This window comes from Homo sapiens, chromosome X (assembly GCF_000001405.40).
Source record: "Homo sapiens chromosome X, GRCh38.p14 Primary Assembly".
Lineage (NCBI taxonomy): Eukaryota > Metazoa > Chordata > Mammalia > Primates > Hominidae > Homo > Homo sapiens.
The window spans coordinates 105,482,183-105,506,488 of NC_000023.11; the positions used below are offsets into that span (position 1 = coordinate 105,482,183).

The 24,306-nt window shown below is 35.0% G+C and overlaps 1 protein-coding gene across 2 annotated transcripts in view; it reads left to right on the forward strand.

Moving 5' to 3' along the window:
- IL1RAPL2 (interleukin 1 receptor accessory protein like 2) overlaps positions 1–24,306 on the forward strand; it is a 1,201,631-nt gene that overhangs the window by 915,984 nt on the left and 261,341 nt on the right. For both annotated transcript variants that reach the window (NM_017416.2, XM_011530905.3), the window contains one exon: positions 2,131–2,205. In NM_017416.2, coding sequence (NP_059112.1) covers positions 2,131–2,205 — 75 coding nt within the window. The remainder of the gene's footprint in view (positions 1–2,130; positions 2,206–24,306) is intronic.

Here is a 24,306-nt window from a genome sequence, read left to right on the forward strand (position 1 = left end):
GCTCCTACTATTAGAAATTGAGGTTGTTTCCAATATTTTACTATTACAAATAATAGCAAACTACAACAAAATTGAACATCTGATATAACTGGATTTTAAATTCAAACATATTCATTTTTTTTAAAGTAGATCCCTCATGTTTCCAATAATATTTAAAAATCAGATTATTAAGAGTAACTGTAGTATTTATGAAATGAAGACTAGACATTATATTAGTAGGTCTAAATTATGCCAAAGTCAATTAAAACAAAAATGTTGTTCAATTCCATAAGGACAATACATATTGTATGTCATCTTGAATGATGTGTTGGAAAAATGAAGGCAATTAATTCACTGAAATTTTTCCACTTCAGGCAGCTCAGGTATTAGGAAGAGAAAGCTAATGTGCCATAAAGCTCTTTCCTAAGTATATTTCTGGTGCATTTGTTTATTATCAACAACTATTTTGGGAATCTCTCCAAATTTGTATAGTTCCCTAACCTTACCTGTCCTGTAATCAACTTTTATTTCTCTCTTTCGCTTCTAAATATTCTTCAAATAGTATGAGATCTTCTCTCATGTTGGCAGGGAATTCCTAAGCTAGTCAATTAATGGTGGCTTAATCATTATAGCACAATCCTATGCTATTCCTCCTGTGAATTATAAAGAAGTATAAAACATTTCTTTTTAGTAGGTAAGAGTTCAGTTGGATACTTGAAGCAAGACATAAATACAGAATCAGTTAAAGGGAATTCAGGATATAAACAATAGTTTGATATAAGTAAGGGTTGTTTTATGACAACAATACACATGACATTATGTATCTGCATACTGAGTCCTCTCATTTCTTTCTTCCAGGTGCCTCTCAGATTTGTCCTCTCATTAAAAAAAAAAAAAAATTCCCCAAACTCCAACCTGGTGTGACTGCTCACCACCACCCATCCCCACACACTGCAGCATTGTTTCCTCAACCTCTTAGTTTTTGTTCTTCTCTCAGCCCATTCCACATATCAAGCCAATCATCATTAGACATCACTTCCTTTGAGTCATTTTTTGTTTCAAGATCTACAATGACACTCCAGCCTAGAACATCATGTCCAAATTCCTCTGCCTGTTACTCAGAGTCCTCCAGAATTCAGCCCCATCCAATCTATCTAGTTTCATTTTTAATTCATGGTGCTCACAAAACCCCTTCTCATCAGGCTCATTTTCCTCAAAGCATATTATGCTTGTGAAGTTCTACTTTTGTGCCTTGGTTTATGTTGTTAATCTTTCCTGATAATCTTTTGAAAATCTTTTTGAGAATCTTCTGAGAATCTTTTCTTCTTTACTCTCTGCCTTTCCAAATCTTCTCCACTCTCTGCCTTTCCAAATTTTCTCCATCCCTTAAGTTTCGTATGGAGATCCATTCTCTTCATAAAACTTTCCCCAAACCTTCCAGCGAATATTAACCTCTCCTTTCTCCATTTCTTTACCACCTATATATAGCCTTATAGCTCAAATGCTACATTCTATGTTCCATTCTCTATTATGGTGTGCTAGTCCTGTGTTCATAGTCCTGTGTTATAAATTGAGGGCAAAGATAAAGACTTTACTTTCTTTCCCTTTAGTAGCTAGCACAAGACTTGGAGTACAAAAGATGCTTAATTGGTATTTTTGATCAATTATCCCAATGAAGATATCATTGCTTTATTATATTGTTTTGGAGGTTGCAGTGGAGAGTGGGGGATAATTCAGAGGTTTAGAAGATTCATGTCACTAAAAATGTCCGTTAGGGTAATATTTCATTGAGAATACCACTACAAAGCATATATGAGGATTTACTATTTCTCAATTATACTTTTAAAATATATATTTCTTTATACTTACAAATTTATAAAAACCACCCAAAATAGTCCATTTGTTTCATCTTGTTGGAAAATGTAGTTGTCAAAATGGCCTATTTACAGTGAATCAATGGTGCTCTAAATGTGCTGGGAAATGGATATTGTATGGATAGAGTAACAACCCAAGTAGGAAGTAGGAACACTGTCTAATAAATGTTTACACACCATCAAGTCTACAAACATTAAATATCATACATGATAGAATCTTTCTCATCCTGTAATTTATCTCAATTTTTCCATTACTTTCTTTCATTTTCTCTTCTAGCTTTACTCACAGACAAGCCTCCCAAGCCATTGTTCCCCATGGAGAATCAGCCAAGTGTTATAGATGTCCAGCTGGGTAAGTCCCCTCCTTGGAATAACACTTCCTAAACTTGCCCTCTGTTAACAGATGGGGAAAATTGCATGAACCAGGAAAGGTTTATTGCCACTGTTATTACATGCAAATCAATTTGTGTTCTGCTCATTTATAACCCTGGAGTTCAGTGCGATAGCAGTTTAAGGAAATGAGTTTGTATTGCATCAAAAAATGGTAATACTAATTAGTTACACTGGGTATTAAGTGTGCTGTATGACAGAGCTTTTTAATTCTGTGATTGATAGATTCATGAGTGTCTTGCATTGGTGATTGGTACAGAAAACTTTTCATACATGTCAGCCAAAATTTTTATTTGGACAGCATTAACTCCTGGAGACCAAGCACTTCTTAAAATAAAATACAGGCTTCGGTTTCGCCTTTAAAATGATTTGATAATATTATTTTCAATATCACAATCCAGGGTCATTTAAAACTTGTTTTTAGGTTGGGATCCTGAATATTTATGAATCATATGATGTTGGGAAAAGTGGCAAGTTGACTTATGAGTGCTATTGTCTTTTTACACACTCAAATAAGAACACAAGGTGTTACACCTCTTTTTAGAGCTCCTACTGCTAATCCTTGTAATTTTAAGTACTGTAAGCTAAAAACTCAGAGGCCTGCTAGGATCTCTTTCAAATTGTGGCCTTTAATTTAAATCATGCCCTTTAACATTTGCGAGATTTCATCTGTCTTGGATTTCATTCTAGTATTCTAAATTTCTTCAATTCTAAATAGAAGAACCACAAGAGAACTGAGTAAATATGCTTGAAATGTATTGGGCTTACACTGAATATATGATTTGTTGATATTTGTGACCATTGTGGTCTATATCCATTATACAGCCAGGGAAGACAAATTGATCCCAATTTTCACTCATTTAGAAAGGTTTTTCTTTTTGTTTAATTTTTAATTATTGTGGGTACCTAGTAGGTGTGTATATTTATAGAGTACATGAAATATTTTGATACAGGTATACAATGTACAATAATCACATCAGGGTAAATGGGGTGTCCATCACCTGAAACATTTATTCTTTCTTTGTGTTACAAGCAGTCCGGTTATAATATTTTAGTTATTTTAAGATGTACAATAAATTACTGTTGACTGTAGTCACCCTGTTGTGCTATTAAATACTAGATCTTACTGATTCTAACTATATTTGCATGCCCATTAACCATTCCTACTTCCACCACACCCAAAACCCTTCCTAGCCTCTGGTAGCTATCATTCTACTCTCTATCTCCATGAGTTCAATTGTTTTAATTTTTTAGTTCCCCAAAATAAGTGAGAACGTGTGAAATTCGTCTTTCTGTGCATGGTTCATTTCACTTAATGTAATGGCCTCCAGTTTCATCCATGTTGTTGCAAATCACTGGACCTCGTTCTTTTTTATGACTGAATAGTATTCCATTGTGTATATGTACCACATTTTCTTTATCCATCTGTCTGTTGATGGACACTTAGGTTGCTTCCAAATCTTGGCTATTGTGAATAGTGCTGTAATAAACATGGGAGTACAGATATCTTTTTGATATAATGATTTCCTTTCTTTTGGGTATATGCCTAGCTGTGGGATTGCTGGATCATATGGTAGCTCTATTTTTAGTTTACTGAGGAACCTCCAAACCATTCTCCACAGTGGTTGTACTAATTTACATTCCCACTAACAGTGGACATTTGGGTTCCCTTTGCTCCATATCCTCTCCAGCATTTGTTATTGCCTCTCTTTTGGATGAAAGCCATTTTAACTAGGGTGAGATGATACCTCCTTGTAGTTTTTGGAAGTTTTGACTCAACTTTTGATCTTTATAATTCAGTTGGGATTGTTGAAAGCTTATTTATATCTTGAAAATAAGAGACAGAAAATTATATTCCTAATGTTCACTTTTCCAAAATGAAATATAGCAAATAGTAGTTTTTAAATAAGCCTAGCAATGTGAGTACCAAAGTTAAGCATTTTAAACAAAACAAAAAGAAATTAATAAACATGTTATCAAGAGTGGACTGTGCAAATGGTAAATATTTGGAAATAATGAAGTATTAGACTGTGGCTCTTCTTATGTCCCCTATATTGTTTTGCAGTCATTATATTTTGTTAGAGCCAAATCTAGATATGCTGATACCCTTACTGACTGTATGATACATTTTACTTACATTTCTCTACCTTGAACTGGGATAAAAATATTCCAAGGGAACTTTGTGGTTCCAGGGGTTACATGGAGCCATATGACGGTCTCGTATCATTAGTTTACATGGAAATTCAAGTGGATAAATTGATTTCATTTGGTATGAAAACAATTTATCCACATATATATCTATATATCTATATCTATCTATCTATCTATCTATCTATCTATCTATATGTAGAAAGCAACATTTGCATGATAAAATGTACATGATAAGCCCAGGCCCTGTGGCTCATGCTTGTAATCCCAGCACTTTGGGAGGCCGAGGAGGGCAGATCACAAGGTCAGGAGATCGAGACCATCCTGATTAACACGGTGAAACCCCGTCTCTACTAAAAATACAAAAAAGCAGCCAGGCATGGTGGTAGGCACCTGTATTCCCAGCTACTCGGGAGGCTGAGGCAGGAGAATGGTGTGAACCCTGGAGGTGGAGCTTGCAGTGAGCTGAGATCATGCCACTGCACTCCAGCCTGGGTGACAGAGCAAGACTCCATCTCAAAAAAAAAAAAAAAAAAAAATAGTACTTGATAAGATACACAAATAAAATGTGAGTAAATTTTATGTTTGTGGTCCCTGGAGGAATACCTTCTGTACTCTCCTCTGCTATTAGGCACACAACAGCAAAGTTTGAAAAGTATTGATCCAAAGCAAGGAGAAGGACCATTGTAGAAGATACATTCCATTCAGATTCACTGGGTGTAACACCTGTATGTACTGTTCAGGACATCTACAAGATGTGCACTTTGTATAAACCTGTATTCTAACATAGATATATATGCCAAAATACCCTACCAAGTACTACCATCCTATAAGATTACTAAAATAATTTACTTCCAATTTACATTAGATGTAAGGCTGAACTTTTCGGGTTTTAGTTTGTAACACAATTGGAAACAACTTTATTGACAGAAAGATGGAGACCTGCTTATTTTTCATCCCAGAAAGGCTGTTACTCTGAGATGTTAAACAACCATATAATTCAGAGAAAGAAAAGCAAAATCAGTCAAACCAGATCTTTGGTGTTTCAAGGAGCACATGACTGATTAATTTTAAGTGATTTTAACTCTTTCACGGATTTATTTAGTACCATTTATTCACAATTGGAAATCCTTTTGTAAGTTGCTCTCATACCTCAATAGTCAGATGACATTATGAGCACTATAAATGTCAAAGAGCTCCTCCGTGTGAGTGGGAGTTCTGCAGTCAGAATCATGAGGCATTAGAAAACACCATGTGTAAAAAAGAGATAGAGAAAGATAACTGGGACTACTGGATATCTCTGTCTATGTCTGGAAAACTTGAAGAATTCAGTAAGGTAATGAAAACTGGAAATTGTTTTCCTTCAGTTTCTGAAGTTTATCAAACACATTCAATTCTGGACATCCTCAAGCTAGAACTAAAATTAGAGCTGCCAAGAAATACGAAAATCCAATCCATATGGCTAAACACATTATCAACTTTGGGTTTCCCAAATCACATTACTTAAAATTTTAGACAACATCATGGTAGATTAAAGGTGGCCATAGATTTTTGGCTACTCCTAATATCTAAACTTGATTTTTCATTCTTCTCCCGTTGAATCTGGGTTGGCCGTCGGGACACACTTGACCAATAGGGTGTGGCAAAAGTGATGTTCTGAAATTTTAGAGGCTGAATCAAAAGAAACTTGCAACTTCTGTCCCAGTGTTTTGGTCCACTCTGAAACCACCATGCTGTTTGAAGTTTAAGCCACATAGAGAGGCACTAGAGGATGAGACACAATATGGTGGGAGAGAGAGGTCAACTAGCACCAAGACACCAATATAAGTGAAGAAGATATCTTGGAAGTGGATCCTCCAGCCCTAGCTTCCCTGGCTTATGCCATGTAGATCACAGACAAACCACTGAGCTGAACTCTTCTCAAATTTATGACCCCAAAATTCATGAGCAAAGTAAAGTGATTGTCATTTGCCATTAAGTTAGGGGTAGTTTGTTAAGTAATTAGTAGATAACCTGAACAAACATTAATCAGTTTATCTAGAGCATTATTAATTTTATTTTTCCCATGGACAAGAATTTCATGCAGCAATTTTATGCAAAATGAGACACGTTTTAGGAAATACTTGAGTATCAGCTTCAAGGTAGTTTTAGGAAACATGGTCTGGAATAAGTGTTTATGTGTTCATTTGAGGGTTACACTCTGTTCTCAGTTCTGAATATTTCTAAAAGGAATTCATTAAATGAAAAATTTCAGTAGAAATAAATACTTTTCATGCATGGAGTTGGCATCAGTACAGATATTTTGTTATGTCTCTAGAGAAAAATAAACATCTTGACTTTTTCCTATAGTGGAAGCCATTAGTCATCTGCAAAGTTCTAGAAATTTAGATACGTTTTTGCTGATTTAGTGATGACAGTTTGGTTGTTGCTAAATTGTGTTCACATTGTAATACTGAAAGAAGATGAATCTTTACCAAATAACCATATATTTTGAGATGATAAACACATTCTTAACAAAATAATCTGAAAACTATTGCTCTCACAAAACAAGTCTATGCAACTAACGTTCCCTGTGGTAATGTATGATATATAAAAGATAAAACAATGTACAACACGTACGTGCAAAATTCCAATTTGGTCCTGTTATCCTTTATTTTTTCTCTCTCTGAAGGTAAATTTAGCTTTAAATTCGAGAAATAAACCTTGACTATACCAGGGCCAATTCTTTTCTCAGCAGTTGAAAAAAAAATATTTTCAATAATTTTTTCTAAGTAAAACAACACTGTATTACAATATATAAACTTATTTTACACCTTTAATACAAATTTATTAAAATATTGTAAGGACATGTGCCCCATTTGAAATATATTCATGCTAGATAGACCCTTTTTCATAAACTACTTCTTTTCATGAGACCCAAATGCATGCTTTACAAACTGTAACACACTCCTGGAAGCTTTGAAAAAGTCATGAACAAATTTGCATGAAAGATTTGAGATCTGCTATCTAATTTTAATTAAAGGTGAGTTTCAAAATGTGCTCTGTTCTTCTGACTGATGATGATAATTTTCTTTTCCTTCCTTCCTTTCTTTCTTTCTTTCTCTTTCTTTTTCTTTCTTTCTTTCTTTTTCTTTCCTTCCTTCCTTCCTTCTTTCTTTCTCTCTCTCTCTCTCTTTCTTTCTTTCTCTTTCTTTCTTTCTTTTCTTTCTCTCTTTCTCTCTCTCTCTCTCTCTCTCTCTCTCTCTCTCTTTCTTTTTCTTTCTTTTTTTCTTGAGATGAAGCCTTGCTCTGTCACACGGGGTAGAGTGCAGTGGCATGATCTCGACTCACTGCAACCTCCGCCTCCCGGGTTCAAGTGATTCTCCTGTCTCAGCCTCCCAAGCAGCTGGAATCACAGTCAGGTGCCACCACGCCCAGATAATTTTTGTATTTTTAGTAGACATTGGGTTTCGCTGTGTTGGCCAGGCTGGTCTCAAACTCCTGAACTCAGGTGATCCACCAGCCTCGGCCTCCCAAAGTGCTGGGATTACAGGCATGAGCCATCGAGCCTGGCCGATAATTTTCTTCTTGGAAGTTTTTTAAAACTTGAAATAAGCTAGACAGCATTATGCAGAAAATACATATAAACATTTACTTTCTCTTTCTGTGTGAATCAAAAAGGAGGCCTGGGGGGCCTAAGGTAGATCAGAAAAACCCAGACAAGTAGAACATCCAAGCTAATTGGGTTACTTTTGATGTTTCAAAAAGCCAATAGTTCATTTCTAGACAAATCTGATCCAGTATAAAAGATTCTTTTTCTTTTCTATTCTCATTCAGAATTTATTTTATTTTTACAGGCTATTCAAATTCATATTTCATGAGTGTGTTATATGCTATTGGCTCAAACTGTCTCTATATATGTAAGAAGTGTTAATCTTCATCAGAAATCGATTTCCCTAGCATATCAGTTTCTACTGAAAATTATATCAGATCCCTTAAGAGACCAGTGTAAAAGACTCTACAAGAGAATATATCAAAATATAACATTTAATTCAATACTCAGGACTAGAAGGCAAACAAATACCCAGTTTAATCCCAAATTAGGAAATAAGCTATTCAACTAAATTTATGTTTTTTATAAAACATTATTTACCTAAAAACATTTATTGAGTTCTTACTGGATGCCAGCATATTAGCTCCTGAAAATACAGAGGTGAATTAAATGAATTTCTTGGCCTTAAGGAGTTCTCAATCTAGTGGGGAAACAGATGTGCATAAGTAGAATTGCATCGCAATATGAGAACTGCCAAAAGAGGGAAAAAGGAAAATGATTTTTCTTGTGGCAGGACCTCATGTTCTATATGCTTAGGCTTTCACTAAAAACAATGACAAAACTCTGTAGCTTCAACCCAATTACTAGATTTATCTGAAAATAATTAAGAATTACCAAGAATAGAACCTTTTGAAATCATAAATTGTCCACCATTTGCTTTAATGTGGCAAATACTAAAAATGGAAATTTATGATACCCTTGAATCAATTAAGTTTAACAAAATTAATCAACTCCTTCTAAAGTTGAAATAAAATGAACAATCCAAAGCAAGTCAACAACTGAGCTAAATGTCAAACTAGAATTATTGTATTTTTTATTTTTTTATTTTTATTTTTTTTTATACTTTAAGAAGAAAATGTGGCACATATACACCATGGAATACTATGCAGCCATAAAAAAGGATGAGTTCATGTCCTTTGTAGGGACATGGATGAAGTAGAATTATTGTTAATGCAAATAGTAATACATGGTTATTTCATTAGCTGGAGTCATAACTTGGTATATGCATTGTGTGTATAATGGTGGAAGCAAGGGATTTTTTAAATTTTTTATATCATATTCTTACCCTCTTAGTTTCAAATAACTCCTTAAAAACTTTTATGTAATCTTGAATAACTGAACACTATGGAGACTTTGGAGAGTAAGAAGGAGGGTATTATGAACTAACTCAGTTTTCTTGGCACACGTAATGGGAGCTAGTTCATGGCAGAATTTCCTCACCCTTGTAGACATTCTAGGGTTAGTGAGTTGTTTCCAAAAGACCTATTTATTCAGGATAACACGCACAAGCTTAGCGTGAGCTACCCCAAACTGAAAACCATTCTATTGCCCAGATCATATACCATGTGCATTATTTACAGCTTTGGAAAATCTGGACCAAGCCTTTTCCTTAAGAGTTGGCTGCAGTATTGAGTGAGACTGAAACTGGTTCCCTTACTTTGTCTAAGTTTCTATAACAGCTGTGCTTGTTTTGAGATTTTTAAGAATGAAATGGGAAAAAAGTTAACAGTTTACTAAATAGTGTCTGTTATAATCTAACAATGTGATTACGAACATCTCTTAAATAGCATGATTGTTAACCAGTCCTCTATGCATACATTGGTGTTTGGGGGCATTGCTTAGGCTTATGTCTTATTGAGATACTGATACAAGTTTGATGGTGTTTCATCATATTTTTAAAAAGCCAAAACCATTATTTCATATATTTGAAACCAAAATTATTTGAGAATTTACTAGGTACTAGGCACTAAAATGGGTATTTGCACATACAGTGTCTTATTACTCATAAGAGCTCAAAGTAGTAGTAGATATTGTTGAATTATTTTGCAGATGAGGAAACGTAACCACAGACAGGTGAAATAGCTTACATGATGTTACATAATTAGTAAGTGACAAAGATGGGATTTCAACAAGATCTGTTTCACTCCGAAGTTTTTTCTTTTTATTATAGCACACTGGGTATGGTAACATTATCTAGACCCCAAACTCTATCCTAGGAAAAAACTATCATTCTAATAAGGACAGCTAAATAATATTAACAACTATAGTAATTATTATTTAATAACAGCTCTACTATTACAAATAATAATGTTATTACTCTACTTAGTATAATTTAATAACATTTCTAGTACTGCTAAGAATAGCAATTATTATTATAATCTTATTTAATAATAATTCTACTACTAATAATAATTATTATTATTTGTAGTGATAATATCAGTAGTAGTAGTAGTGGCAGTGGTGGTGGTGGTGGAGCTGTCACTTATTGATTGCTTACAGGGTACTAGGCACTATATTAAATACTTTATATAGCTTATTTTATTTAATTTTCCCAGCAACTCTTTGTGATAAACCCAACTACTTGCCTCATTTTAACAGTTTTATTATTATATTAGTCATATACCGTACAATTGGCAATTTAAAACATCCATTTCAATGATTTTTGGTCTATTCACGATGTTGTGCAAGCATCACCAGAATTTCATAACATTTTCAACACCCCAGAAAGAAACTCTGTACCCATTGACAGTCACTCCTCAGTCCCTCAGCCTCACCCCATCCTCAGCTTTAGGTAGTTATTAATCAACTATCTGTAACTATAGATTTGCCTATTCTGGATATTTAATATGAATAAAATATGTAACATGTGGTCTTTTGTGATAGGCTTCTTACATTTAGCATAGTGTTATCAAGGTTCAGTCATTGTTATTGCATGTATAAGTACTTCACTCCTTTTCATTGCTAAATAATAATCGACCACATTTTATTTATTCATTAGTTAGTTGACTGACATTTTGATCATTTGTATTCTGTGGCTCTTATGAACAATGCTGCTGTGAGCATTCATGTACAAATTTATGTGTGGACATATGTTTCCATTTCTCTTGTGTATACCTAGGAGTAGAATTGCTGGGTCATTCGGTCATTCTATGTCTAACCTTTTGAGGAACTATCAGACTGCTTTCCAAAGAGACTGTACCATTTTACATTCCTATCAGTAATGCAGAGGTTCCAATTTCTCTACATTCTTGAAAGCACTTGTTATTTTTTTATTTTTAACATAATTATTCTAATGTGTATGTAGTACTATTGTGGTTGAAATTGTGTTTTTTATTTATATTTCCCTAATGGTTAACTATATTGAGCATCTTTTCATGTGCTTGTTGGCCATTTGTATGTCTTTGGAAAAATGTCTATGGCCCCTTTTTTAAATGAGGAAAATGGGCTCGGAGAATTTATACAACTTGTCCCAGCTAGTAAGCAGCTTGAAAGTAGTGAAGCTAAAGTTGTCACTCTTAAACCTTGCCGTATTCCTACTAATATTAGTAGTATTGTTTACAAGGTCCTCTTGTACTTCTGCTCTTTCCTAAAATAGATTTTTGGACAGAAGGTGAGTGATCATGTATATGGAAGTTAAAGGGGTGTCTAGTGTGAATTGATTCAGTGAGAAAATAGAAATTATTAAGAGCATTGCTTTAACTTTAAATCTTTGTAACTCAAGCCACAACTCCTTTTTAAATACCAAACTAATTTGTAAGCAGTACATATGCCTGAAAACTAGCTGTGAAGCACAAGACAATATAAGAAAGTTTTCTGGAGGGATTTACAGTATACTTAAATGGCCAAAAATTGTATGTAACCCAGTATCTGAACAGAGATCAAGAAACTAATTTGTATCATTCAACAATAGGAAGTATAGATTAAAGAGACTTTAAAAATAAGTTAGAGAACTCTCCACTGTTTGAATTTATTAGGAATAAGTGTCAACTGAGTGCACTGTTCCCCAAAAGCATATGATGTCTGTGTTGATATCAATACCATCAGCTTTGCAGCACTTCTCAGCAGCTTCATCTTCTAACCCATCTTATTCAGTGGGTTATAGATGCTTTTTAAAGATCTGGAAAAGAAAAAAAAATAACGCTACAAATTTTGACTATGTCTAAAATGCCACATGAACTGGGAAAAAATAGAATTATTTATGATCTCTTTTAATTCAAATATTTTATATAATTTTATGTAAATAAAGGCAGATTTTATGGATGAACTTGTAGAAAATTGAGTAAGCTATTATCTTGCTTATTCATAATTGAGGTAGAAGGGTATTCTCATAATTGAGGTAGAAGGGTAGCTTTGTATCATTTAGACAATTCCATTAATTGTCCTCTATACTTCATTTAAATAAATTTGGCTTAAACTTTGGAAGATCTTTTGCTCCTTTAATAATAGCTCTTTCCAGAAATTACTTAGATATATCAGAGTGGGATATAAATTTTGGTCCCTTTTTGGGGGGTCAGGGTCTCGCTCTGTCACCCAGGCTAGAGTGCAGTGGCATGATTCTGGCTCACTGCAGCCGCAAACTCCTGGGCTCAAGTGATCCTCCTGTCTCAGCTTCCTAAGTAGCTGGGACTACAGGGACACATCACTATGCCTGGTGAAGTATTTTTTAACATTTTTCATTGAGACAGAGTCTACACAGAATAAGGACAAGGCAGGAGATCTGGGAAAAAATACTCAGAGATCTGTGAAACTACAGCTAGTAGTTTATGTTCAAAGTAGTAACTTGGAGTTTGGAAGCTTACAGGTTGCAGAAGCCCCGGCAAGGTGGTAAGCAAAGAAGTCACGTCAGAAAAAAAACTGATCTTGGGTTTCTAGCAAGGTGGAAAAGTCAAAGGCTGAAAGCCATCACAAATCAGGCAACAAATGGATACTGAAAGATCAAAGACAATGGTACTAAACCTGTAAGAGTTTGCTCGATTCCCACAAGAGAAAGGTATTGTCACTGTGAACATAGCCACTGAAAAGTAAAGTTTGAAAGAACTGGGTCTTAGAGTGATGCAAAAGAGGGCACACCTGGCAATTAAGATCAGTTAAAGCAAGTCCTTTGGCTGAAAAAAGGAACTCCTTCAAAAAGAGTATAATATAAAATAAACTTGGCCTGATACCAGTTCTAATGAAAAGTCTAGTCTTTACCAATATCTGAATTTCAAAAAAACTGAAGTAATAGTATATTCATCAAGTCCACAAAAAAGCTTTGATTTTGTTTACAAATGCAATATTAACCTAGGAATAGAGCCTATGTATATTGAAATGTGGTGTACATTTGTAAGACACTTATTTTCCAAGAACAAGAGGAGCTCTGACTCACTGAGGGCCTGTATCAATTTCATTTATTTTCCTTAGTTGTGAAGGTGTTGACTGTATATCTGTTACTATAGTGATGATTTTACATTTGTTGTCAAGTTGTTTGATGAAATTGTAACTTGGTGAGATGATAATCATGGTGTGTCTTAAGGCTGATTGTTGGCAAAAGAACAAAAATAATGTGAACATGTGATGGAGAGGGGGCCTACAACAAAGGAGAGGGAAAATTGTGTCAAGGTACAATTTGAAAACTGCTGTAAACCAAAAATAAAATTCTAGGCGTCTCTCCCCGCCACAACCATCTGAGTGGACTCCTCCTCTCGGCCAGGGCGTTCCAAAGTTAGCATGAAAAACTGGTTCAGGCCATGACAGGAAGGGAGGACTGGACATGTTTCATTATACTCTACTCCCTTTTAGAATTCAGGAAAAGCTGACCAGCATTTAACATCAACACAGACCTTAAGTCTGATAAGAAACATATACAATCTATTCTCTCTGAAGCTTGCTTCCTGGAGGCTTCATCTGCATGATAAAACCTTGATCTCCATAGCCCCTTATTGCGACCCACACATTCTTTGTGATTGATAATAACTTTCAACCAGTTGCCAATCAGAACATTTTAAAATCTACCTATAAACTGGAAGTCCCCTGCTTCGAGTTATCCTGCCATTCCAGAACAAACCAGTGTGTATCTTACATGATTGATATCTCATGTCTTCCTAAAATGTATAAAGGTTGTGCCCTGACCCACCTTGGGCACATGTTCTCAGGATTTCCTGAGGGCTGTGTCACAGGCCATTGGTCACTTACATTTGGCTCAGAATAAATCTCTTCAAATGTTTTACAGAGTTTGATTCTTTGTGTTGACACTCTCTTAGCTCAATTATGGGAAAATGAAAGTTCTTGAGAAAGAAAGAGAATCATGCTAACTTTACATAAGATAATTAAGGAAAGTGAAGGGTTAACTTTAACAATAGTACCTCATATTTATGCAGTATGTATTTCCAAGGCATTCAAAGCATGTTTTCAGGCATCATTTAATTAATTTCTTTGGTAGTTCTGTAAAGTATGATGAGTATAAGATATCATTCATTAAGCATTGACACGTGTAGTGATTAAGGTTCTTTGTGACACCCACAGGCAGTTTAATTGAGCATGCTAGTGAGGAATCAGCTAGATCAATAGTGAATAAATGATTGTTAGCCTGATCATTATTAGTCAGATCAGAATTTCTGTAACTCTACTATTATGTATGTACACATATGACTGCTATTATATATATGTAAAATTTATAGCAGGGATGATGTGTGTACTCACTTCTGTGTGTGTTTCCACTTCCTTTCTCAGTCAAGTGGTTTGCTTATTAACCTAATAATAGCCATTCTCATGAGTGACCACTTTGTATATAAAGTAGCTCTTAAACTTTACAGATTACTACTCTGCTTGCATTTACTTTTTGGTTCTCAATGTTGATTCCTGTGATTTTAGTTTTTATATTCTTTTGATGTACAAAGAATTCTTAAATATATTTATTGGGTATATATGACATTTAAAACCATATAATCTATAGTGATCAGATGAAGGCAATTAGCCAGTGAAATGTAAATCAAAATCACAATAAAGTATCATATCATCTCAGTTAGGATGGCTATTATTAGCAGGACAAAAAATAACAAATGCTGGTGAGGATTAGAAGATACTATTATGAACAATTATAAAAACTGAAGAACTTTGTCAACAAATTCGAAAACCTAGAGGAGAGGGATAAATTCCTAGATACATACAACCTACCAACCTATCATTGAACCAGAAAGATGTAGAAAACTTGAACAGACAAATAATGAGTAAGGATATTGAATCAGTAATAAAACCCCCCAACAAAGAAGATCCCAGGACCAGATGGCATTACTGGATAATTCTACTAAGAACTAATTGACAATACTAATAATAAATGTTAATTAAATTCATTAACAATAACTAAAGAAGAATTAATTCCAACTTCTCTTAAACTCTTCCAGAAAATTGACGAGGAGGGAATTCTTTCAAACTCATTCAGCATTACCTTAATACTAAGGCCAGACAAAGACACTAAAAGAAAAGAAAACTACAGGCTAATAACTCTGATCAATGTAAATGCCAAAGTCTTCAACAAAATACTAGCAAACTGAATTCGACACCACATTAAAAGGATCATACATCATGACCAAGTGCGATTTAACCCCAGAATGCAAGGAAGTTTCAACATATGAAAATCAATCAATGTGATATACCACATTAGCAGAACAAAAGATAAAAATCTTTAGAACACATGAATATCTCAATAGATACATACAAAGCATGTGACAAAATTCAACAACCTTTCATGATAAAAACACTCAACAGAATGAAAGCCATATATGAAAATAGTCCACAGCTAACATCATATTTGATGATGAAAAATCGAAAGCTTTTCCTGTAAGTTGAAGGACAAGGCAAGTGTGCCCACTCTTGTCACTTCTATTCAACTTAGTAATGGAAGTCATTGCCAGAGCGATCAGGCAAGAAAAAGAAAAAAAGGCATTCAAATCAGAAATAAAGAAGTGAAAGTATCACTGCTCACAAATGGCATAATCTTGTAGGTAGAAAAACCTACCAATTCCACCAAAAGTTAGAACTAATAAATTCAACAAATTGCAGAATACAAAATCAATATTCAAAGATCATATGCATCTTTATAGACTAAGAATAAATGATCCACAAATAAAATTGAGAAAACAATGCCATTTATAATAGTACGGAAAAGAATAAATTACTTAGGAATAAACTTAACTAAGGAGGTGAACGATCTGTATAATAAAAACCACAAAACATTGCTGAGATAAAGAAGGCACAAATAAATGAAAAGACACCTCACATTTATGGATTAGAAGTCTTAGTATTGTTACAATGTCCATGATTACCCAAAGTGATCTTCAGATTCAAGACAATCCCTATCAAAATTCCAGTGACATATTTTTTTGCAGTAGATAAATCAATCCTAAAATTCATATGGAAACACAAAGGTCCCCAAATAGCCAAAACAATTTAAAGAAAGAACAACAAAGCTGAGGCCTCAAACTTTCTGACTTCAAAACATACTACAAAGCTACAGTAATCAAAGCAGTGTGATACTAGCATAAGGACAGATATGTAGAACAACGGAACAAAATTAAAAAAACAATAGAAATAAACCCATGTATATTTGATCAAATTACCTTCAACAAATGTACCAGGACTAAACAATGAGGAAAGGATAATCCCTTAAACCAAGGGTCCCCGATCCCTGGGGCCACAGAACAGTACCAGTCTGTGGCCTTTTGGGAACTGAGCTGCAAAGCAGGAGGTGAGTGGCGGGCAAGCAAGCATTACTGCCTGAGGTCTGCCTCTTGTCAGATCAGTGGCACATTAGATTCTCATAGGAGCATGAACCCTATTACGAACTGTGCATGTGAGGGATCTAGGCTGCGTGCTCCTTATGAGAATCTAACTAATGTCTGATGATCTGAGGTGGAAGAGTTTGATCCTGAAACAATCCCCCCGATACTGTCCCTGTTCATGGAAAAATTGTCTTCCACAAAACTGGTTCCTGGTTCCAAAAATGTTGGGGATACAGATGATCTTGGGAAAACTGGATATCAATATGAAAAATAATGAAATCAGGCCCCTTCTCTTATACCATACACAAAAATCAACCCAAAATGCATTAAAGAATTAAACATAAAACCTGAAACTATACAACTCCTAAAAGAAAACACAGGGGAAAATCATAACACTGGTCTTGGCAGTGACCTTTTTTTAATGTGACACCAAAAGTATAGGCAACAGAAGCAAAAAATAGACAAGTGGGACTACAGAAAACTGAAACGCTTCTATGCAGCAAAGGAAATAATCAGCAGAATGAAAAGACAACCTACAAAATAGAAGAAAATATTTGCAAGCCATATATTTAACAAAAGTCTAATATCTAAAATATCTGAGTAACTCCTACAACTCAATAACAAATAACCTGCAAAAATAAACTGATTGACTACAGATAAAAACTTTGCATAGACATTTCTCAAAGAAGACATACAAATAGTCAACAGGTATGTGAGAAGATGATCAATATCACTAATCATCAAGGAAATAAAAGTAAACCATAATGAGCTATCACCTCATACCTGTTAAGATGGCTATTATTATAAAAAGCAAAACAAAAGGAGAGAAAATAAGCGCTGGTAAGGATATGGCAAAATCAGAAAGCTTGTGCACCATTGGTGGGAATGTAAAATGGTGCAGCCTCAATGGGAAACAGTATGGCAATCCTTAAAAAATTAAAAATAAAACTACCATATCATCCAGCAATTTCACTTCTGAATATTTGCCAAGATGTGGAAACAACCTAAACATCCATCAGCAGATTAATGGATAAATAAAACGTGGTCTATACATACCATGGAATATCATTCACATTTGAAAAAGAAGGACATCCTGTCCTATGCGACAACATGAATGAACCTTGAAGACATTATGCTTAGTGAAATAAGCCGGTCACAGAAAGACCTATACTGCATGATTCTGTTTACATGAGGTTTTTAAAGTAGTGAAACTCTTAGAAGCAGAATGTAGAATGGTAGTTGCCAGGCACTGGTAGAAGTAGAAATTGGAAGTTGCTGTTCAATGGGTATAGAGTTTCAGTCATGCTAGATGAAAAAGCTCTAGAGGTCTGCTGTACAACAATGGATATATAGATAATAATACTGTATACTTACACATTTGTTAAGAGGGTAGACTTCATGTTATATGTTAGTTACTACAATGAAAAAAAAAAACCAAAAATACAAAACAGTTGGTGAGAAGTGTTCTAACAGAGATCTATTAACTCAGAAACCTAAGGCTTAAAGTATATTCTTCCCTCTACCTTGTCTTATATAATGTGCCAACAATGCTTAGAGATCTTCCTGCTTAGACTGTTCTATATTATTGCTTTAGTAACTTCAAATTAGGATCCCATATTTTTGCTGGGGCAAGTATTACAATCAATTCCAAATTGGTCTCTTTGCCTCCTCTTTCTCATCTTTAATAAATTCTCATCACTATAACCAGAAAAAAAATCTATGTTAAAATGTAAATCTTATGCATCTTTCCTGATTTAATCTCTTACATAACTCTCCCTTACTTGCCCAAAAGAGAAAATACTAATTCCTTACATTGATTACTGGTTGCCATCTACTTCTTCAGTCTCATCATTCTTGCTATGCCAAATTGTTTTATTTTTGTTCACACAGGAACTCATATCCCTTCTCACTCACAACCTCCTGGCAAACATTTTTTATACACCAATGTTGAGTTTATCATCACTTCCCAATGATACCTTTCCTGATCCCTGAGCTGCAATCCCAGGAAGAAAATATGTATCCCTTTTATGTCTCTACTATACCTTATGAATTATCCTGTCCCAGCATGTATAGTTTTTAATTATATCTTCATTTGTTGATATGTATGTATCTCTTACTAGACTGTAAAACTGATAGTATTTGCTTCAATATTTCTTTTCCAGCAATAAGCACTGTGCCTGATGCTCAGGAAATGTCTATTTTATGTATGTGTGCACAGTCGTATGTATGAACAAATTTACAGATATGTGAAGGAATGAAAAAACAAGTGAATAAATTTCTATGATAACTAAATTTCAGATGGTTGGCAACTTCCTTCACTGCAGCCCTCCCATTAATTTCATTATATTTTACAAATCCAACTTTACTTTAGAAAACAACCTTGTGATTTAATTTAGTGCTATCTAGAACCATAAGATCTTAGCCTTGTACGATGGCTCATGCCTGTAATCCTAGCACTTTGAGAGGCTGAAGTGGGCAGATTGTGTGTGGCCAGGTGTTTACGACCAGCCTGAGCAACATGGTGAAACCCCCACTCTACAAAAAATACAAAAATTAGCTGGGCATGGTAGTGTGTGCCTGTGATCCCAGCTACTCAGGAGACTGAGCTGAGAGGATCACTTGAGTCCTGGAGGTCAAGGCTGCAGTGACCCTTACTCGCATCACTGCAATCCAGCCTAGATGACGAAGTGAGACCCTCTTTCAAACAACAACAACAACAACAACAACGACAAACCCATAGAGTCTTAAAATTGCAAGGAAACTCCAGCCAATATAATAAATAACCACAAAATCACAGTGGCTTAACGTAAGAAAAGTTTACTTCTTGCTAATACAAAATCTAGTTGGGTATTCATATGACTTCCTATGCAGTTCAAGCTTTTTCTACCTAGTGGCTTTGCCATTCTGCTGGATCCCCCACACTTATCTAGCCAAGAGAGAGAATGTGGAGGGTTGCAATGTTGTTTTTAGGTTCCAGAACAGAAAGTAGCGCACATTACTTCCAACCATATCTTATTCAGAGTTCACCACATGACCAACCTAATTACAAGGAAGGTTGCATAATATAGAGGAACACATGGATATGGGTGAGCACTGGCTGTCCCAATAGCATTTATCTATTCCTACTTGATGTTGCTCCTCTGGGAGCATCTCTAAGAATATTGTCTAAAACAAAAGCATTCTATGACAATGGAGAACACATTATCTCCACAAGGCAGCCTATTCAATTATTGTATAATTCTTGTAATCAGAAAGTTCCCTTTATGCTGAACTATAATCTCACTCTTGTGGCAAGACAGAGTAAACCTATTTTTCTTCCATATAGTCCTTCAAATATTTGAATAAACTAGCAGGATCCCCCAGCCTCTTATATTCTTTAGGATAAATATTTACAATTCTTGAAAATTTCTTATAGGAACTATACACTATTATGGCTACCCTCTTCTGGATATACTTAATGAAGAGTGTTAATGTACTTCTTAAAATATGAGACCATATACCAGATGTGGCCTAACTCATACAGAATAGGATATTGACTTCCTGTATTCTAATCACTATGTAAAATGAGATCATCTGTGTGAAGGCACTTTTTACAATATGAAGCAACACACTCATGGAAGGTATCGTTATTATTATAAATGTAATTTGAGATTGTGTGAGCTTATTCAGCAGCCACATCACACTGTTGGCTAGTGTTTTAAACTTGTGGTCAGCTAACCCCCCAAACCTTTTTCATAGGAATTACTGCATGAAAGAGCCCCATAATCATTTCTTCCATGGTCAGTGAAAAATACATTCTTTTTTTTTTTGTTTGTTTGCCTCTGAGAAAATAGGCTTAATGGTGTCTAGATTTCTGGGGCTAAGTAATAATTTAAAATTCTTGACAAGTTTTAGGTCCTATCCACCTACACAAACCACTTTGACCAAAATCAGTGCTTTAAAAAAAAATGCAAATGTAGTTAGCTAAGCGTATTTTTTTTTGTCTGCATGACAACAAATACCTGATTTAAAGGCTTTTAAATCAGTTTGTGGCATTGGTGTGGGGATGGCCTTAAACTTTTGATTTCCTCTTTAGTAGCTAATGGTTTCGTTTCATTAAGTGCTCTCTGTGGTTAAGAACTGCACATTTTTCTTGGAATTTTGCAAACAGAATGAGCAATTTAAATTATGCAGAAGCACAGAAACCATAAATAATAGCAGCCTTAAGATTGTATGATTAGTACAATTAAAGCAGAGATATGGAAAAACATAACTTTTCCATCATATTATTCTCCCTCTCTAGGAACATTCTGGATCAATTACTACTCAAGCCCATAAGTCAAAGCAATCTCTTAAATCCAGGATTAGCAGTCCGTAATGAAAGGAGCAGAATTTTTGTGAATGCAGTTATTTTCTTAGCCTATTTGTACTCCCCAAAAGTTCCCAGTTAATTAACTGGACTACTTTAATCAGTGAATGGCTACCACATTACACAATGTTTGATTTATATTAATGCGCTTTGGTCTTGGTAGACCAGAATTTCCAGTTCTCTAAATAAGAGAAAAAAGAAGGAAGCTGGCTTTCTTATTGGACAGTGAAAAGTACACAGCAGTTTTGATTAAACTGAAATAAAATATCTCTCTAAATATTTACCTCAAGGAGACAGTGGTGTACTCTAAAGAGGTGGATGACTACAACATACCCTCCCTTACCACATCCATGAGTGTCCTAGGGCTGCTGTAACAAAGTGCCACAAATGGGTAGCTTAAAACAAATTTATTGTATCACTGTTCCAGAAACTAGAAATCTGAAATCAATTTGTCAGCAGTACTGTTTCCTTCTGGAGGCAAAAAGGGAGAATCTGTTCCATGTTTCTCTTCTAGCTTCTGGTAGTTGCCAGCAGTCCTTGATGTGCCTTGACTGGTAGATGCATCACTCAGATCTTCGTCATCACATGGCATTTTCTCCTTGTGTCTCCTTTTGTCTTCAAATTTCACTCTTCATGTAAGGTCACCAATCATTGGATTATAGGGCTCACCCTAATCCAGTATCATCTCATTGTAACTCTGCAAAGGCCCTATTTCCAAATAAAGTCAATTCACAGGTATCTGGAGTTTAGGTACATACATTTTGGAGGGAACTCAGTTCAAGTCATAGCACCATACCTACTTACATCAAGATCTGTATGACAGTGAACATCTGGATTAGAAGTAAAACCTTCAGTCTCAAAATAAGAAGTTTGCTGAGCTAAAATCTGAATGCCTGGATATTTAAGTTTTCATATCATTGGAGTTCCTGGAAAGATACACTATTAGACAAACACATAGGCAGGTTTCATGCAGATCTTAAAAGGGAAGTCCTATATAAAAATAGGCTGTAACCTGTGTATTGAATCTACAAGTCTCACTTACCAAGTGCAAGAGAGGAAATCCCTGCATATAAATGAAGCTTCTTTCAAAATTGGGCCTTATTTGAAGTATTATTATTTTTTCTTTCCTATCTTAAGTCCATAGGGCTTACTCATTTTATGACAGAAATATTTACTCATCATCTGGACAATTCTGAGATCCTGATGTGTTTGTGGAGTTTGTATTGATGCAGCAACATCAGTTTATAGATCAGAAAAAAAATGAATAAAATTCTTTCATTATAACACAATACCGAGGAGAGCAAAATCTGGTCAATATAATCTTAAGGGTATATGTACAAATCTCAGAAGTGGTATAGTAAGCAAGTACAATTTCAGGGTTATATTTCTTTCTTACCTTAGCCAAACAAATTGTGAAGAAAATAAGTAGTTTGGGAAGTAGAGCAAAATAGCTGACATGTATCTATTGTTTTCTTGTACATAGATTATAGATAATTATAAATTTAGTTTCTAGATTCTTCCTGCATAAGGGTGATGCCACCAGGATTTCTTTAAGTCTATGCATATAATGCAACCCATGTCCTCCTAGCATCTAATCCATGGCAGTGAAGATTCCATGTATAGTCACTATAAATAATAGGCAGTTCAGATAATAGACAATCAAAAAATACTGAATAAATCAGTGTAATGTTACCATGCCCCAGTAAATAGAGGTGTAGCATACAAGTCTATTGTAATTCCTATATCCTTAGTGCTGGTATGGTAATGTGGGATGGTTTAGTTCTTGTTCTGTCTAGAGCCATAAAATGACCCTACCCTCCCTTCCTTACCTGAGTATGCTCCCTCATGTCCACAAATATGGCCTTTACCAATGTACACTAATCTCCGTAAATTTTAAATAGTACTTCATACGCACAGATAATTTAAGCAAAGGTCCATGAGATTTAACTGATTTAACAAACACTTATCAAGTGCTAGTGATGTACCAGGCACCATTATAAACACTGAAATTTAAGACAGACATGGTTTCTTCTCTCATGGTGATTACTGTCTAGCAGGGGAGACAGAGATTAAATAAATTAACCTACCATTTTACATAAATATAAAATTACAAATTGTTGTTAAGTGTTATGAATGAAAATAAGAGAGAACATCTATTACATTGTGGATGAGTAGAAATGAATAGTTTTAGAAAGTTCATAAGGTAAAAGTTAAAAGATGAGGAGGAGGCACCATGTTAAAATTAAGAAAAAATGTGCCTCAATTAGGCAGAATAGCATATATTAAGGTCTTGCAGAAAGAAAAAAATGTTGAGAATATTTGAGATACTTCATTTAAGTCCAGTATAGCTAAACATTGCCATCTGTGAAGATGGAGATAGGAGTGGTGTGAAGTGACATCAGAGAGGTAAGGAGTAGTCTTATCATGCCAAACATCACAGGAGGGTTCTAATTAAAGAAGTTTCATGATGTAATTTATGTACATTTATACTTTCTAACTTTTAATCTTGAAATAATTGTAGACTTACAGAAATGTTGCCAAAGTAACACAGAGATGTCCTATATACCTTTTCACCCAACCAATTTTTATGAGGATCCTGGTTAAAAGGATACTGCAGTATTTCAGGCAAAAGCTGAAGGCAATTCAGTCTAAGGTATTGGTGGAGATGGAAAGTGATTGTTTGAGATGAAGTAAGATTAATAGTACTTCCCTGAAATTAACCTACTATACCTCGGACACTCTATTGAGAGCTGGAAATGCAGTAGTGAGCCAAAAAGACATGTTTCTTGTCTTTAAGAAGCTTGTAGTCTAGCAGACTTGGCAATGGATTGGATACAGGTAGGTGAGAAAGAGAGTAGGTGTAAGAAAGTCTTTCAGGTCACTGAGCAACTGAGTGAGTAAAGAACACTTACTAAAGTGGTTATTTCAGTTACCTATTACTCTATAATACCCTCTCCCCAAATGGTGGCTTAAAAGAACAATGATTTATTATTTCTCATGATGCCATGGGTGTCCAGGTGGTTCTCTTGCTGCACATGATTTTGACTGTGGCCACTCATGCGGTTCCATTCAGCTGAGAGCTTGGCTGGGCCTGGAACAACCCATAACTCACATTCTTGGGCCTTGATGCTGACCTTTGACAGAAGCAGTTAATTTTTTCTCCATGTGGCTTCTCTCTCCACACAATATTTTATTATGCACTCTTCTGGTACAAGCTTC